We start from the raw sequence: 18,286 nt of genomic DNA, 5'->3' as shown, positions 1-18,286 counted from the left end.
GGGATTACAGGCATGAGCCATGGCGCCTGGCCATTTTTTTTTTTTTTTTTTTGAGACAGGGTCTCACTCTGTCCTCCAGGCTGCAGTGCAGTGGTGTGGCTACAGATCACTGCAACCTCAACCTTCTGGGCTCGAGCTATCCTTCCACCTCAACCTCCTCCGTAGCTGGAACTGCAGGTGCACACCACCATGTCCAGCTAATTTTTGTATTTTTTATAGAGATGGGGGTCTCACTATGTTACCCAGGCTGTTTTGAGCTCCTGAGCTCAAGCAATCCTGCCACCTCAGCCTCCCAAGGTGCGGTGAAACAGGAAAGGTTCCCTTGCCGCCGTCGCAGGGCGTGCAATGTGGGTGTGGCTCGCTTCTTCAGTGCCCCGATGCTCAAACCTCTAGGGAAGCAAACAGATGGGCAGGCTGTGGGGCTCTGACCCCACGGCAGTGTATAGGGTGAATGTTTACAGCTCCTGAAGCCCCAGTGGGCGTGTGTTACAGGGTGCTCTCTTAGTTTGCCATCTATAGGTGGCTTGTGTTAACCAGTTCCATTAGACCCTCTACCTGTTCCAAGGTCAGAGGTGTTTCTGTATCCCGGGTTCTCGTCTTGCTGTACCGGAAGAATGGGATCACACGTGGGCTTGGAGAATGAGTGCAAGGTTTTATTGAGTGGAAGCAGCTCTCAACAGATGGGGGAGACAGAAGGGAGATGGTTTTCCCCTGAAGTCTGGCTGCTGGGCAGCCTGACTCTTCTCCGATCTCTCTTTCCTAACTCCGTGTTGTGCCGCTGGTCGCTGGCTTGCCGGCCTGCCGTTGCCTGTCGACGTGCTCTCCCGCCAGTGTGCTCTCGATGACCAGCTGCTTCTGTCTTCTTCCACCGATGTGTTCCTCACGATGTCTAGCCACTTGTGTCTCTGCCTTGCTAGGGTCTCAGGTTTTTATAGGCCCAGAATGGGGGCGTGGTGGGCCAGGGTGGTCTTGACAAATGCAACACTTGTGTGCAAAGGCAGAAGTGCCTGTCCTTACCTAGCTCCGTGGGGGTGGAGCCCTACCAGGGACCACACCCTCCTTTCCCAGTACTCCCGGATCACTGGCATTACAGGCCAGAGCCAGCACGCCCAGCCCACCTTTCCTTCAGACGTGAGAGCTCTGGGCTTCCCTGTCCCTGTCCTCTGGCTCTCTGCACAGATGCTCCTCATCTTCTCTGAGCTCTCTCTTGGTGACTGCTGGCATGAACGACCAGCTGTGGCAGGCTGAAGAATGGCCCCGGAAGATGTTCACGTCCTAGTCCTTGGAACCTGTGAATGTGTTTCCTTACGTGACAAAAGTGGCTTTGCGGATGTGATTAAGACTCACAGGCTGGGAAGGTGACCCTGACTTACCTGGTGGCCCTGATGTAATCACGAGGGTCTGTCCTTATAAGCAGAGTCAGAGAAGGGGAAGGCATGACGAGCAGAGGTGGGAGGGATGCAGCTGCTGGCTGGGGCCACGAGCCAAGGAATGCAGGCAGCCTCCAGACACTGGGAAAGGAAGGGCAATGGATTTTCCCTTGGAGCCTGCAGAAGGAACACAGCCCAATTGCACCTCGATTTTACCCTGTGAGACCCATTTTCGACTTCTGGTCTACAGTACTTTCTGTGTCCTACATCTGTGTTGTTTGAAGCAATTAAGTTTGTGATCTGTTATAGCCACAGTAGATCAAAAACTTAATGGCTTTATACCTGACATCTTACTTTCTGGAGATCTTGCTTCACACTGGCCCCTGCTTTGTCACCCACAGATGGAGCCACCTCTCCCGGCTCGCAGCTGTCGGCTGGATTCAGGTCTCCCCTCCAATAACCCCACTCCACCTGCTGGCTGACCTGCCACTGTCTGGGACCTACCCTCCACCTTCCTCCTCCACGGGGACAACTCCCACACCTCTCAGCTCCAATGCCATCTCCCCTGAGAAGTTGGGCACGTGCCCCTTCAACACCTTCTGAGCACCCTTTTCTGTCCAGTCCCGCTGGGGTGGAATCACATGTTTCTCTGGTCTCTCCATTAGGCAGTGAACTCATTGGATACAGATGATGGCTGATTCATCGCTGTTACTGGTTCTCACCCTGGGGCCTGCACATATCAGAAGCTAAGTCAAAAATTGCTGACTTGGATGGGCCACTAGCCATGAGGGGTGGGCCAGCGAGAAACCCCCAAAGAAAAGCGTGGGGCCTCCCTCTTGATGGCTGGCTGCTCACCCTGAATCTGTTTTCTTTTCTTCCTGGTTTGTGCCTCCCTTGGGCTGTGGGCTGAGTTCTGTGTTCTGGCCCATAAACTGTGGGCAGAAGTGATGGGTTCCCTTTTGGAGCTGAAGCTTTTAAGGAGCAAGTGTGTCCCTTATTTTCTTCCCTTCCTGAGTCTGGAAGAGATGCAAACAAGGCCCCTGTGCTCAAGGGGAGGTGGCTCCCAGGGGTGGAAGCCTGGTGTCTGGCTTACTGTGAAGAGAACCCTCCCACCACCCACGGCTGCAACCGCAGGCTCAAGACCATCAAGTGAAGAAGAAACCAAATTCTGATGTGTTGAGTCCTTATTCATTTTGCAGCTTGCATTACTCTAATCAATACAGGAATTGGCACCTTGAAGCAAGGGTGTTGCCATAACAACCTTAAATACGTGGCATGGCCCCAGGGGGTGGACAGTGAGTAGCGAAGACTGGAGATCCCAGGTGGAAACTGGGGGGACTTGTGTGATGCAGCCACAGTGCATCTGATGAGCCATTCATTGCCTAAAATAATTTGGAAGGAAGACAAAGGCCAGGGAACTGGCAGCTCCAGGGGAAGAGGTAAAAATCCTGACAGCTAGTGTGTGTTTCTGCCCATAGAAACACACACTAGCTTTTGCTGCATTTTGCTGCTTATAGCAAGGTCTTACAAGAAAGACATGAACTCAGGTAAGATTTGTGCAGTCTGCAAGCAAAAATGAAAGAAAATAGTCAGAAAGGTGGGGCCTCTCTGGGTTGGTTGGATTTTTCCAGATTTGGACTATTGCATTGCATGAGCAAGTAATAGACTTCTATTGAGTTTGAGTGTGCATATGCCTCTGGGTCTATTTTTCCGGCAGCTAGCATTGCCCTAACATAGGTGGCTTTGGTAAGTGCCACCTTTGGGTACGGCTAGTACTCTTCACATCCACTTTGGCTCAGTCTCCCATGGCAGGGAGGGGCCACACTGAGCCACCACTCCCTGGATGGCCTGCCCTGGAATCTATGTCATCACTTGCAAGCAGAAGGCTGGGGTCAGAGGGCTGCAGGGTTCCAAATAAGCCCAGGGTCACACAGCTGATGAGCTGGGGGAGCCAACCCATGGCAAGCTTCCCTGGCTCTAGAAACGTGCTATTTAGTCACGTGAGATGTGTAGGGGCCTCCTTTTCACTGGGGCCTGGTGAGTGTGAGTGTGTGCCTGTGTGTGTGTATGGTGGTGGGTGGCAATTGAGTCCTCAGTGACCCCAGTGTTGAGATTCTTTGTAAGTAAAGCACTGCTGGACAGAGGGACTGCAGAGAACAGGTATGCTTGCCCAGAAAAGTCTTTACTGATGGTAAAACTGGGGCTCAGAGAAACAAGGACCTGCTGGAGGTTGCACAGCAGGTGGCTGGCAAGCTGTGATGAACAGCCAGGACTTTGCCCATCTGCAAGGAGGGCCTCCCTCCTTTACTCTTGCTCATTCTGCTCTGTCCTCCCTGAGCCTCGCCTCCCCCAGTGGCTTTCACACACTCTGACGGCAGAATCTTGCCTGCTCCTTCTCATGTCTGTACCTTTCTGAGCTCCATGCTGCAGGGCGGGGCCCAGGGACCAGAACAGGAACCAATGTCATGGGAACTGGAGTCCCAGCCTGGATTTGGTGTATTGAACTGTCATGAATTTGGCTGATCTTTGGCCATCCGGCCTCTCTGCCCACTTCACTGGGGGGACTTGCCCTTCTGAGTTGCATGTGACATTGTCCTAGGGTGTCCATCAAGCTGTCCTGTGCTCTCCAGGCCAGGCCAGGGGATGGCCTGATTGCAGGGGCTCTGCATCATAGAGAGACCACCAGAAGTCATTCATCACAGTAGTGGCAACTTGGCAGAGAGGAAAAGCGCTCTCGGTGTCCTGGTCCCCAGAGCTGCTCTGTTGTTCGCTGAGCTCAGACCTCCAGCTTTCCTTCATTTTTTCTGAGCTACCTGACATCTTTCCCATAAAGTTCACACAAGTCAGTGTTCAGAGCTTGCACCCAAAGACCCCAGATGATGCAGACAGAAACCCAAAAGAATAGTGGAAAAGAATTTCCCGAAGCCATCCTCAAGGCAATGCAGTGTGCAGTTTTTGATCACCTACTGTGAGCTAGCCAGTGAGGTTGCAGAGAGGCAGCAGTCTTTACAGCCTGGAAAAGCTCACATATTGAGGGCAGGGAAAAGAGACACTGGACGAATGGGGGACAGTGCCCAGTGGCCAGGAGTCGAGGCTTGGGGCTCTGCTGTGCCCACTGTCTCCCGTATCATAAACTTTTAACTATGAATTTAATTGGCACCCAAAAAGGTTTGCTCCTATTTCCTCTCATTCCCCTTAAAAAATAAAATCAATAAACCATTCAGGATGTCTTTAATAGAGACTAAATCAGAGTTTTTCATAACCTTGTTATGGGGTTGGCATTTGCAACATTTTACCCCTAAAGCTAAAGTTGGGTTAATATAGCATCATTTGGAAATCAGACAGTGGACTGAATTAACCAATAACCAACCTATGTCTGGCAGTTTATCATTTTCAGGGAACCCTCGCAGGCATCATAGAAGCCCTGCAGGTTAGAGAGTTTGGCTCAAAGAGGGGAGGGAACATGCCTACATTCACACAGCCAGGGTGGAAATGGTAGAGCGGGGCTTGATCCTGGATCTGCCTGACTCCTCAGCTCCACTTTTCTTCTGTTTAATTGAAAGGGGTAGTTGAAACTCTGGAAGCCTAGGAATGCTGGCGCTAGGGGGAGACGATTTCTGCAGGGTTTAGGGAGGGCAGTTTACGCGCAGGTGCTGGCTGGATAGGCATTTGTGGTCCTGCACTGCCCCCTGGTGGATTCCCCGTGCCTGGGCTTCCCCTGGTTTGGAGACTAGCTGGGAGTTGAAGGCTGCTGGCTGTGGGCGGGTTGGAGACCTTCCTGGTGCAAGCAGCTCCTGCTTTGGGACAGCTGAATGTTTAAGCCTGCGAGATCACCTAACAGATGTTCATGTGTTTGCTTATTTGTGGGAAAAGTGTTCATTCATTAATTCACTTCCCTGTATTCTGCAGGTCGCAATGCTGATACTCGGCACTGCCCTGGCCCCCAGCCTCACGGGAGGATCAGATCCACAGAGAGACGCCTACTATGCAGGGAGATAGGATATCCTAAGCTAAGCGCAGGGCGTCCTGGGGAAGAACCCAACCCGGGCAGGAGTGGGGAGCGGTGGGCGGGGCTGGGGAAAGGCTGCCCCGGGAAGGTAAGGGAGGGGAGATGGGACCAGATGGGGGAGGGGAGGCAAATCTGCTTTAAGGCCAATGGCCCGAAGCTTCAGGGACCCTCGTTTTCTAGGACTCTGGACTTCATTGTCCCATTTATCCTTTTGTACTCTTTTTCTTCGGGAGATACACTCCAGCTCATGTAAGCTTCAGGGCTCTACCAAGCCTGGCTCTGCCGCCGGACAGACGGGGATGCATGCGGAGGACGCTGGGCAAGTGCTCCACGGAACCTGCAGGGAGCAGCAGGGGATCAAAAGACAGAGGCAGAGGGCGGGCTGGCGCGGAGGAGACCAGTGGCCTCTGTCCTGAGGGCAGTGGGTCCCACTGGAAGGTTTTGAGCAGGGGTGTGGCCAGGCCCTGTGAGTGAGATAGGTCTCTATAGAACAGGAGCTCGCCCACAGGGGCCCTGGCCTTCCTCCGCCGAACAGTCGTAACGTCTAATTCCAGGGTCTGCAGGGAACTTGCCCGGCCCCAGTTTGTAGAGGAGGGACCACGCTGGCGGTGTAGTGCCCGAGGATGGCTGGTTTTGGGGGCTGTGCGGAGGGAGTAGAGGGGCCTAATGGAGGGCATAGGCAGTGTTGTCAGCCGGGGGCCTCCCCCAGTCCACCCTCATCTTTTCCACCATTACTTAGGAGAACCTGAGTTGTGCACTCTGCAGCTCACCCAGGGCCAGACCAGGCTGGGCTTCCTGGGCCAGAGGTGCTGGGGAGGCCCAAGAGGTGGGAGTGGGCGGGTCCTGCGGGCAGGTTGTGGGATCTAGAGGCTGGAAGTGAACATAGGAATGTAGGGGTGCTCTGAGAGGAGGACTGGCCATTAAGGGGGACCCAGCCCTAGGGTGACAGTGCCCAGTGCAGAGACAGTGCCTGGGGCAGGAAAGGGCAGGGAGAGGGCCAGGACCCAGATGCCAGGGCCGAGGAGCCCATGGCTCATAATGTGGTAATTGCTGGCCCTTAGTAGCCCGGGAGTGAGCCAGGTGGCTTACGAATCTACGGCCAGGGCAGAAATCCAATGGGAGGGGCCATTCTCGGGGCTGGGAAGCTTTATCGCCGGGAGGAGGACTGGTCTATCTCTGACAATCTGGTCTCGGGGACATAGGCCAGACCTCTTGTTCTCTCAAGAACAGGATTCCCACCCTGTCTGCAGCCCCCAGGAGGCAGCAGGAGGCCCCGAAAGGCGGGGAGGAAGCGCGTCTCTGGCCCAGCCTGGTGATTAGGTCCCTCAGTTGCAATTACTTTTGCAATTAGCTCAGCTGGTAATTGGAGCGGGAAGTGGTAATTTCTGTCCTTCATGGAAGCTTCCTTTGAATTGGGCTCTGCTCATCTGTCCAGGATGCAGGGTTGTGATCCTGGAGCACTGTCTCTCAGTGGGAGCTCTGAGTTCACAGCCCTGGGCTTGGCAGGTGATGCATCTGGATTCTGCTAGAGCCCCTGGGGTGGGACATTTTATTTATGGCAAGGAGGTGCTTTGTGGGCTTCACAGGAAAAAGCAAGGCTGCTCTTAAGATTTGTGGAGCTTGGGAGGACCGTATCTCACATATCTAAATACTTACAAGTCAAAAATCAAACAAGCTGTGACAGGCAGCCCCTAAGATGGCCCTAGTGATTTCCACCTCCTGATGTTCCTGCCCTTGTATGACCACCTCCCCTTGAGGGTGGGCTGGCTGGAGACTTGCTTCTAACCAGTAGAATATGACAAAGGTGATCGGGTGTCACTTCCATGAGTAGGTTATAAAAAGTAGTAACTTCTGTTACAATCTTATGATGCCTCTTGGCATGCATGCCTTGATGAACCAAGATTCCTTCTGGCAAGGAACTGAGGCCAGACTGGCTGACAGACAGCCACTGACTGAGTTCAGCCACCAACCCTGCCCTAGCTGGGCCTTCAGATGAGATTGTAGACCCTGGGCTAAGACTTGATTATAGTCTCCCAAGACACTGTGAAGCAGAAAACCCAGCTAAGCAGTTTCCAGACTCCTGATCAGACAAATCGTGAGACAATACATATGTGTCATTTTAAGCTACTAAGTTTTGGGGTCGTTTGTTACACAGCAATAGGTAACTGGTACATAGACACATTATTAAATTAAATAGCTTCTATTTTTTGATCTTGAGAAAGTACACTTTTCAAACTACCTAGAAGGTCAGGTTAATCTGGAAGCTTTGGACTCCTTGGAGTTCCACACCAGAACATGGTATGGGGAGGAGAGCTGAACCTTGGCAGAAGGCCACCCTGCTCTGTCTCTTCCCACCTGGGCTCCATCCCATACACCCCACATCTTCTACATGCCCAAGGGTCAAAACTCCATTCATATCCCCCCATAAGTAGCCACCCTTGGGCCTAGCCATGTTCATGTTCCACCCCTGAGAGGTTGGACGTGGGGACAGGCCTGCACAGGCCCAAGAATTGGGTTTTAGCACCATTTGGCCAAGGAAATCTAGGGCCCCAATTCCTGCAAGTGTGATTTAGAAGGGGGCCGGGGTTGGCTCCAGGTGGCCACATCCTTTCAGCCCCATAGACCCTTGACCCCGTGGGGACCACTGGAGAGACAGGGCCAGGTCTTCCAAAGCAGGGTCCTTCTTGCCTGGGTCTGAGGGGGGTCCTGGGAGGGCTCCTTGTTCTAATCTTCTCAGACAGAGATGAGGTGTCCCCAGGGATATACCAGAAAAGAGGGAGATTCAATAATACTCAGCCCAGGGGCAGGGCTGGGGCCCACATCTCCTCCCTCCTCCCTGTCTTCCACCTTCATTGGGGCCTGATCTGTGCTAAGCACTTGCTAGCAAAGCAGCTGATGGACACAGCCTCTGGCTTCCCAGTTAGTAAGGAAGACATACCTTAGAGCAGAGCCAGTCCTTCTCCCCAAGCAGATTCATTTAATTAGAATGCATTGAACACATATTACAGGCCAGGAGCTGGGTATTAAGCAGGGAGAGATTTATTAGCATAGGTTATTAGAAAGCTCACAGATTGACAGCAGAGCTGGCCTGGCTGGGAGCTGGGGCTGCCCTTGGAAGCCTGTGCACCGGGGTGAGCCAGCTACTGCCAGAGCCCACTGCATTCTGTCCTGCTCGGAGGAGCTTCTTCCTCCCTCCCTTTTTAAAATTGATTTATAATAGATGTACACATTTATGGGGTACATGTGATATTTTGATACATAGGTACAATGTGTGATAATCAAATCAGGGTAACTGAGTATCCATCGCCTCAAATATTTATCTTTTCTTTATGTTGGGAACATTCAAATTCTTCTCTTTTAGTTATTTTGAAATATGCAATACCTTATTGTTAACTCTAGCCACCTTACTAAGTTATCAAACACTAGATCTTCTTCCTCCTGTCAGACTGTATTTTTGTACCCATTAATTAACTTATCTTCATCCTCCCTTCCCCTCCCATTCCCAGCCTCCAGTAACCATCGTTCTACTCTCTGTCTCCATGAGATCCACTTTTTAAGCTCCCATATATGAGTGAGAACATGTGATTTTTGTCTTTCTGTGCCTGGCTTGTTTCACTTGACATGATGACCTCTAGTTCCATTCATATTACAGCAATTTCACTCTTTTTTGTGGCTGAATAATATTCCTTCATGTATTGATATGGTTTGGCTGTGTCCCCACCCAAATCTCATCTTGAATTGTAGCTCCCATAATCTCCACCTATCATGGGAGGGACCCAGTGGGAGGTGATTGAATCATGGGGGTGGGTTTTTCCCATGCTGTTCTCATGATAGTGAGTAAGTCTTATGAGATCTGATGGTTTTATAAAGGGCAGCTCCCCTGCACAGACTCTCTTGCCTGTGACTATGTAAGATGTGACTTTGCTCCTCCTTCGCCTTCCACCATGATGGTGAGGCCTTCCCAACCATGTGGAACTGTGAGTCCATTAAACCTCTTTTTCTTTATAAATTATCCAGTCTTTGGTATTTCTTCATCGCAGTATGAAAATGGACATATATATATATATATATATATATATATATATATATATGACATTTTCTTTATCCATTTATCTGTTGATAGACTCAAACAACTCAATAGCAAAAAGCCCAAAGTATTTGTCTAAAAATGGGCAAAATATTTGAATAAGCATTTCTCAAAAGAATACATACAAATAACCAACAGGTATATGAAAAAATGCTCAATGTCTATCATCAGGGAAATCCACATTGGAACTGAGGAGAGTGGAAATCACCTGGTGACCACTGGATGGGTCCCGGAGACAAAAACTCCTTATCTGAGGAGTTTAGAAGCCAGCAGCGACCACCTGGTGACCATCGAACAGGCCCTCCGGAGGCAAAACTCCCTACATCTGGAGAAAATCAAAAGTAATTAGACTTCCCTAGTATCTAAAGTCAGCGTCTGGTTCCAGGCCTCTTTCAACTTTTATAAGTAACTAAAATTTCTATCCATCTCCGGAATGCCACGCCAAAACTCATTTTACAACCCTAAGCTCCTGCCTTAGGTCCATAAATACCCCTAAGGAAAAATCCACTGTGGCATGCTCAGTCCTCTTGCTGAGGGGCCCCGCTGCACGCTTTTGCAGCATTCTTCCTAAGAAACTTTCCTTTTTCAAACTTATACTATTGTTGGTACTTTTTTTTTTTTTTTTTTTTACAAACCCACGAGTCGATCACTTCCCAGTGCTGGGACTCTGACCTTGCCTGGCAGAAACCACAAGGAGATACCATCTCATCCCAGTCTCAACAAAAAGGCAAAAAATAACGGGTGCTGGTGAGGATGCAGAGAAAAGGGAACGCTTGCACGTTGTTGGTAAGAGTGTAGATTAGTACAGCCACAGTGGAAAATGGTATGGAGGTTCCTCAAAGAACTAAAAATAGGACTATCATATGATCCTGCAATCCCACTGCTCGGAGGAGCTTATTTCTAAATCAAAGTTGCTGGAGTCTTTGATCGGGATATTCTGTCATATGTCTGCACCCTAGGGGTAAAGAAGGCTGAGCAAGGCAGAGGTTTGCATTCTACACTGGGCAGGAGGGCTTTTCAGAATAGAGGAACGGATTTAAACGTGAGAGGGTGTTTCCCCACTAGGGCAGCCCTGATTGACAGCTGCTTGCCATGGCAATAAATACAGGGAATAACAAGGTAGCAGGAATCACCCAGCAGCAATGTACAAAAATGAAACATTTACATTTTCTTCTAATAACATGTCACTTTTGTTTCCTGAGACCACTGGTATGGAAGAATAATGATGGATCTGATCTTGCCAAATAAAGGATTTTTAATCCCTTCCATTTTTAAAAGTCATGTTCTATTAAAATTTGGGGTAAATGTTTAAACAATCCCCAGAAAGACCTCCACGGCCCTTGCTGCTGTTTATAATCTCCAGCCCAGGACTTCCTCCCCCTTCTTACTGGTTTGTCACCTTCCAGTCCTCTAGCTTGCTTTTTACCAAAAAAAAAAAAAAAAAAAAAAAAAAAGTTGATTCCAGAATATGAAAAGAAGACTGCAGGATCAAAGCTAATCAATGTTTCTATGTAACCATATTCTGCAGGCAGTAATGTTATGTCAGCTTGTGAATTGCAATTGAATTTAACACTTGGGAGAGTCATTTCAGGTGGTGTCTGGAAACCTTTTAGTGTGTTACTAAGATGTGGAGTAAGCCCCCCCAGATTAGGGTGTCTGTATAAAAAGGACCTTCATCAAACGTTAAACCACAGGATTTTTTTTTTTTTTTAACCTGGAAACCTTTACTGTTTTGGTGACACGTAGGATAAATTAATTTTTATTTACTTCAGAATTATGGGACCTTGAAAACATATATTTACTAAGTACTAAATAGGTGCTAGATGAATTATATGCATGATCTCATTCAATCCTGACTTGATCCTTGATCCCTTTTTACAGATGGGAAAACCAGGGTACAAATAAAGGAGTAACAGGCCCCCTAAGGTTTCCTTAGAACTTGAACTGGAGCCAGAGGTCATATCTCAGGGTTTTGAGGCCCAGTGAGGAGGGCGGTTTCCCCTTAGCAAAGGCCCTGAGGCCTGCAGTTTGCATATCTGTGTTCTTCTCTTATCTGGGGTCAAAATAGAATTTGGTTTTGTAAACACTAATATGCTGGGCCTGATTATGGTTTCAGAACAGGAGTCTTAATCCCGACCCCATGGCTCTAAGAGCAATTTTGGCCTGGTTGAGAATTTCTTGTGCTTGAAATGTTCTCCATCGCTGGCCAAAATGGATACTTCTACATTAGCCAAATCAGTATTAGGATCTTTCAAGAAATAGTTTGTGACCTGTGGATGTGGAGATACGAAAGCCTCATTGAAACCTGTTCCTCGCCCCTTGGAGTGACCCATGATACCAGCTGGTCAAGGAATTGCTCAAGAGACACCTCAAAACCAGAACACAGGAGAGCTATTCTTTAAACCTAGATTCTTTTTTTTTTTTTTTTTTTTTTTTTTTTTGGTGCTAGGTTCTCACAGCCTGCAGCAAGGATTCAACAAAGCCAAGCTGATTGGCTGGCCGTTGTCTCTAGGATAGCAGAAGGGAATTTCTTTTTTTTTTTTTTTTTATTATTATACTTTTAAGTTTTAGGGTACATGTGCACAATGTGCAGGTTAGTTACATATGTATACATGTGCCATGCTGGTGCGCTGCACCCACTAACTCGTCATCTAGCATTAGGTATATCTCCCAATGCTATCCCTCCCCCCTCCCCCCACCCCACCACAGTCCCCAGAGTGTGATGTTCCCCTTCCTGTGTCCATGTGATCTCATTGTTCAATTCCCACCTATGAGTGAGAATATGCGGTGTTTGGTTTTTTGTTCTTGCGATAGTTTACCGAGAATGATGATTTCCAATTTCATCCATGACCCTACAAAGGACATGAACTCATCATTTTTTATGACTGCATAGTATTCCATGGTGTATATGTGCCACATTTTCTTAATCCAGTCTATCATTGTTGGGCATTTGGGTTGGTTCCAAGTCTTTGCTATTGTGAATAGTGCCACAATAAACATACGTGTGCATGTCTTTATAGCAGCATGATTTATAGTCCTTTGGGTATACACCCAGTAATGGGATGGCTGGGTCAAATGGTATTTCTAGTTCTAGATCCCTGAGGAATCGCCACACTGACTTCCACAATGGTTGAACTAGTTCACAGTCCCACCAACGGTGTAAAAGTGTTCCTGTTTCTCCACATCCTCTCCGGCACCTGTTGTTTCCTGACTTTTTAATGATTGCCATTCTAACTGGTGTGAGATGATATCTCATTGTGGTTTTGATTTGCATTTCTCTGATAGCCAGTGATGGTGAGCATTTTTTCATGTGTTTTTTGGCTGCATAAATGTCTTCTTTTGAGAAGTGTCTGTTCATGTCCTTCGCCCACTTTTTGATGGGGTTGTTTTTTTCTTGTAAATTTGTTTGAGTTCATTGTAGATTCTGGATATTAGCCCTTTGTCAGATGAGTAGGTTGCGAAAATTTTCTCCCATTTTGTAGGTTGCCTGTTCACTCTGATGGTAGTTTCTTTTGCTGTGCAGAAGCTCTTTAGTTGAATTAGATCCCATTTGTCAATTTTGGCTTTTGTTGCCATTGCTTTTGGTGTTTTAGACATGAAGTCCTTGCCCATGCCTATGTCCTGAATGGTAAAGCCTAGGTTTTCTTCTAGGGTTTTTATGGTTTTAGGTCCAACGTTTAAGTCTTTAATCCATCTTGAATTGATTTTTGTATAAGGTGTAAGGAAGGGATCCAGTTTCAGCTTTCTACATATGGCTAGCCAGTTTTCCCAGCACCATTTATTAAATAGGGAATCCTTTCCCCATTGCTTGTTTTTTTCAGGTTTGTCAAAGATCAGATAGTTGTAGATATGCGGCGTTATTTCTGAGGGCTCTGTTCTGTTCCATTGATCTATATCTCTGTTTTGGTACCAGTACCATGCTGTTTTGGTTACTGTAGCCTTGTAGTATAGTTTGAAGTCAGGTAGTGTGATGCCTCCAGCTTTGTTCTTTTGGCTTAGGATTGACTTGGTGATGTGGGCTCTTTTTTGGTTCCATATGAACTTTAAAGTAGTTTTTTCCAATTCTGTGAAGAAAGTCATTGGTAGCTTGATGGGGATGGCATTGAATCTGTAAATTACCTTGGGCAGTATGGCCATTTTCATGATATTGATTCTTCCTACCCATGAGCATGGCATATTCTTCCATTTGTTTGTATCCTCTTTTATTTCCTTGAGCAGTGGTTTGTAGTTCTCCTTGAAGAGGTCCTTCACATCCCTTGTAAGTTGGATTCCTAGGTATTTTATTCTCTTTGAAGCAATTGTGAATGGGAGTTCACTCATGATTTGGCTCTCTGTTTGTCTGTTGTTGGTGTATAAGAATGCTTGTGATTTTTGTACATTGATTTTGTATCCTGAGACTTTGCTGAAGTTGCTTATCAGCTTAAGGAGATTTTGGGCTGAGACAATGGGGTTTTCTAGATATACAATCATGTCGTCTGCAAACAAGGACAATTTGACTTCCTCTTTTCCTAATTGAATACCCTTTATTTCCTTCTCCTGCCTAATTGCCCTGGCCAGAACTTCCAACACTATGTTGAAGAGGAGTGGTGAGAGAGGGCATCCCTGTCTTGTGCCAGTTTTCAAAGGGAATGCTTCCAGTTTTTGCCCATTCAGTATGATATTGGCTGTGGGTTTGTCATAGATAGCTCTTATTATTTTGAAATACGTCCCATCAATACCTAATTTATTGAGAGTTTTTAGCATGAAGCGTTGTTGAATTTTGTCAAGGCCTTTTCTGCATCTATTGAGATAATCATGTGGTTTTTGTCTTTGGTTCTGTTTATATGCTGGATTACATTTATTGATTTGTGTATATTGAACCAGCCTTGCATCCCAGGGATGAAGCCCACTTGATCATGGTGGATAAGCTTTTTGATGTGCTGCTGGATTCGGTTTGCCAGTATTTTATTGAGGATTTTTGTGTCAATGTTCATCAAGGATATTGGTCTAAAATTCTCTTTTTTGGTTGTGTCTCTGCCCGGCTTTGGTATCAGGATGATGCTGGCCTCATAAAATGAGTTAGGGAGGATTCCCTCTTTTTCTATTGATTGGAATAGTTTCAGAAGGAATGGTACCAGTTCCTCCTTGTACCTCTGGTAGAATTCGGCTGTGAATCCATCTGGTCCTGCACTCTTTTTGGTTGGTAAGCTATTGATTATTGCCACAATTTCAGAGCCTGTTATTGGTCTATTCAGAGATTCAACTTCTTCCTGGTTTAGTCTTGGGAGAGTGTATGTGTCGAGGAATTTATCCATTTCTTCTAGATTTTCTAGTTTATTTGCATAGAGGTGTTTGTAGTATTCTCTGATGGTAGTTTGTATTTCTGTGGGATCGGTGGTGATATCCCCTTTATCATTTTTTATTGCGTCTATTTGATTCTTCTCTCTTTTTTTCTTTATTAGTCTTGCTAGCGGTTTATCAATTTTGTTGATCCTTTCAAAAAACCAGCTCCTGGATTCATTAATTTTTTGAAGGGTTTTTTGTGTCTCTATTTCCTTCAGTTCTGCTCTGATTTTAGTTATTTCTTGCCTTCTAGGATAGCAGAAGGGAATTTCTTAGAGCACCCATCTCCTGAAGATTGGCGGGTTGTGTAGAGGGGAGGCAGTCTCTTGCTGCCTGGATGGACAGCTGACTAGCATCAAGAGCCCAATGGCCCTGAGTGTGGGCAAGACACCACATAGCTGGCACAGTATCTTGGTGACAGAGGGAGCCAGGAGAGGAGATGAATTATGCCCACACTCTCCCACCAGATCCTGGGGAGGCAAGGTGGCCTTGGCAGGTGGAGTGGGGTGTCTGTAGTCCTAGATCAATCTCGTCTTGGAAACAGGGCAGATGGAGCTGGTTGATGCCCTTGCATCATTTTCATTTCATATTAAGTAAAAATGATGCACAGAACATGCCTTCTGCCTTTGTCCTGAAGAACTCCCATCAGACATTGTAACCACTCAGAATATCCTATATTAAAGATAATTTTTATGTGATTATGAATTGAGCTGAGCTATGGCTGACAAGCTATACTTTGTAGACATCTAAAATATTGCATTTTAGCCCGGGAGTGGTGGCTCAAGCCTGTAATCCTAGCACTCTGGGAGGCTGAGGTGGGCAGATCACTTGAGGTCAGGAGTTAGAGACCAGCCTGGCCAACATGGTGAAAGCCCATCTCTACTAAAAATACAAAAAAGTTAGCCAGGTGTGGTGGTGGGTGCCTGTAATCCCAGCTACTCAGGAGACTGAGGCAGGAGAATTGCTTGAGCCGGGGAGGCGTAGGTTGCGGTGAGCCGAGATCGCGCCATTGCATTCCAGCCTGGGCTAGAGAGCGAGACTTCGTCTCAAAAAAATAAATAAATAAAAATAAAATAATGCATTTTGTAGATTTTAATCAAATGTAGACTCATTTTAAATTTGCATTTTTCTTTTCATACTTTAAAGGCTCTGTTTTCTTTTCTTTTCGGGTCCCAAATATCTTTGGAAGCTTCTGAAAAGCTTGTGCTTATAACGTGTAATGGATAAAATGGCCCTGCCAGCAGGGGGCGTCCCTGCCCACTGGCTGCGGTTAGAACCCAAGATTTCATCAAAGTATAATGTTCAAAAGACACACATGACTCATACAAATGTATAGTCAACACGAGACACAGAATAATTTAACTCATTAATGAAAGACCAAGGAGGATGGTAGTTGGAGCTGGTTCAAATAAGAATCTGAGAAACAGCCATAGACCATCCCTGAAAGAATGTCTTGGGATAGGATTGCTGAGTTAGACACAAACAGGGTAATGTCCTACAGGACAATAAACTATAACCTTTGGTGTAATCTTTCCCACTATACAGAAATCATTTGCATTTCTAATGGGCCAAAAGGAAGCTATTTGCAACTTAATCTTCTACAAGTTAACGTGTAACTTTGCAGAGTCTGGGCCCTAATCAATAGTAAACAGTAAGTCAAACACTGGCACATTCCCCTGGAGAATCAGATAGTCCTGGGCGGGCCTGCTAGATAGGTCCCCCTATGTGACACTCACAGGAGATGCTGTCACCTTTTAGCTTTATTCCCAAGTTTTGGGTAAAAGTTCTTAACAATAGAAACGGGGAGAAAAGGGCTTTTCTGGGGCAAGTCTTTGCTGGGGTCAAGGCTCCCGGGGAAGTAAATGGTTTGGCATTTCTTCAGATCTACATCTTTCAATCTTTGTTCAATATTAATCTAGCTGGGTCAGGGAAAAACTGATTTTTCTGTTAACAAAAGCTATATACAGAAACAAAGTCACTTACCTGTTTATTTCCATGGTCACAGTGGAGTCAGTACTCAGAAAATACTCAGCAAAACATTTCATTTTGTTTTGGTTTTTGTTCCTTCCCTAGTTTCATTTGGGGATTATCCAAAAATCAGTTAGTGGAAACACAGGAAAGAGTTTTAGCTCTAGACAATGCATTATTTTTTACTGGTAAGCAGCCCAATGGCGTGAACTACTGTGTTCCTGCATTTCAGCAGAGGACACTGGGTGCCAAGCTCTCTCTGATAGCCCGTGTGTGGCACAATGTCCAGAGTGGGCAAATTCACAGAGACAGAAAGTAGATTCATGGTTGTCAGGGGCTGAGGAGTCATTGCTAATGGGTGTGGGGTTTCTTTTGGGGATAATAAAAAATTTCGCAAAGTTGCAAAATTTAGCAGTGATGGTTGCACAATTTTGTGAATATACTAAATACACTAAGTTGTACACTTTAAAAGACAAATTTTATGGTATGTGAATTATATCTCAATCAAAAAAACACTCCAGAACAGGATCAACACAACAAGGGATTTTGGAAAATTCCCTAAAGGGCCAAGTGTGGGGATCAATGCACATTTCTCCAGCTATGAGAGAAGAATTATCCTGGAAACTGGAGTTAGCACATTTGTGGTTTATTTCCATGATGTTTCAGGGTTCCCCGCCATCTAGCTGGCTCACACTCTAACTCAGCTTGGGCCGGTCCTGTCTTTAGTGACATGTTCCAGAGGAGACAGTTTCCAAGAACTGAGAGGGTCCTCTCCCCTCTACCTCTCATACACAATACATGTCTAAAAGATTTAAAATCATTTGAACACCTGCTTAGATCCACCCAGTGCTTTAGCATTTTATGCTTCCTGAGACCTAAATCTTCAAATTGGACATTTCTATAGTATTGTTCCTGGCATTGGAAGGAGTCACAGCCACAAGGAAAATCCACCTCAAATAATGTTGTTATTATGTATCAAATGCTTTTATTCATCATCTCTTAATCCTCACCACAACATGTAAGGTAGATTTTATTAAACTTGTGTAAACAAAATGGCATCTGTGGCCTCCTGTTGCCTTGAGATCTGGACAAGGTTGGTTTGATCTCACTCATTCACTACCCTCTAGGAAGACCACAGCCTTCCCAAGATTAGTGACTTCCCAAAGTATCCAGAGTCTCCTGTTTTTTCTCTGGCTCTGGAAGCCTGCCTCCTCTAGGGTCCCTTCTGTTGTGGCCTATGTGGGCCCAGATGCCAAACTCCACCCGCTTCCCAGATTCCACCCCCACTACCAAAGCCAAAATACTCATGAGTGCAATGGTCTCTCCTGGAGATCTTTGTGTAGGAGGAGAGGTGGAGAAGGGTTTACACCATATCAGTGTGTACAACTATAAAATGAACATGAGGCATTCACTTTTCTTCTAAGTGTCATTTTGGGAATGTACATGGTTAACTTCATTCTGTCTCCATCTTAGCGACTTTTATCGCTTTTCTCTTTGCTCATCCCTCCTCCTCACCACCTGCCACCCCAG

At 46.6% G+C, this 18,286-nt stretch overlaps 1 annotated feature.

Moving 5' to 3' along the window:
- Positions 5,314–6,039: an enhancer, noted in NCBI's record as "H3K4me1 hESC enhancer chr5:175156005-175156730 (GRCh37/hg19 assembly coordinates)". NCBI's record gives its function as "activates a minimal SCP1, AML or CMV promoter by ChIP-STARR-seq in primed H9 embryonic stem cells {active_cell/tissue: H9 hESC(primed)}" and the evidence as "EXISTENCE:reporter gene assay evidence [ECO:0000049][PMID:30033119]".

The sequence above is a fragment of the Homo sapiens genome, chromosome 5, assembly GCF_000001405.40.
Source record: "Homo sapiens chromosome 5, GRCh38.p14 Primary Assembly".
NCBI lineage: Eukaryota > Metazoa > Chordata > Mammalia > Primates > Hominidae > Homo > Homo sapiens.
Note: the sequence above shows the minus strand (reverse complement) of the source record. Positions and strands in the feature narration are given on the sequence as shown.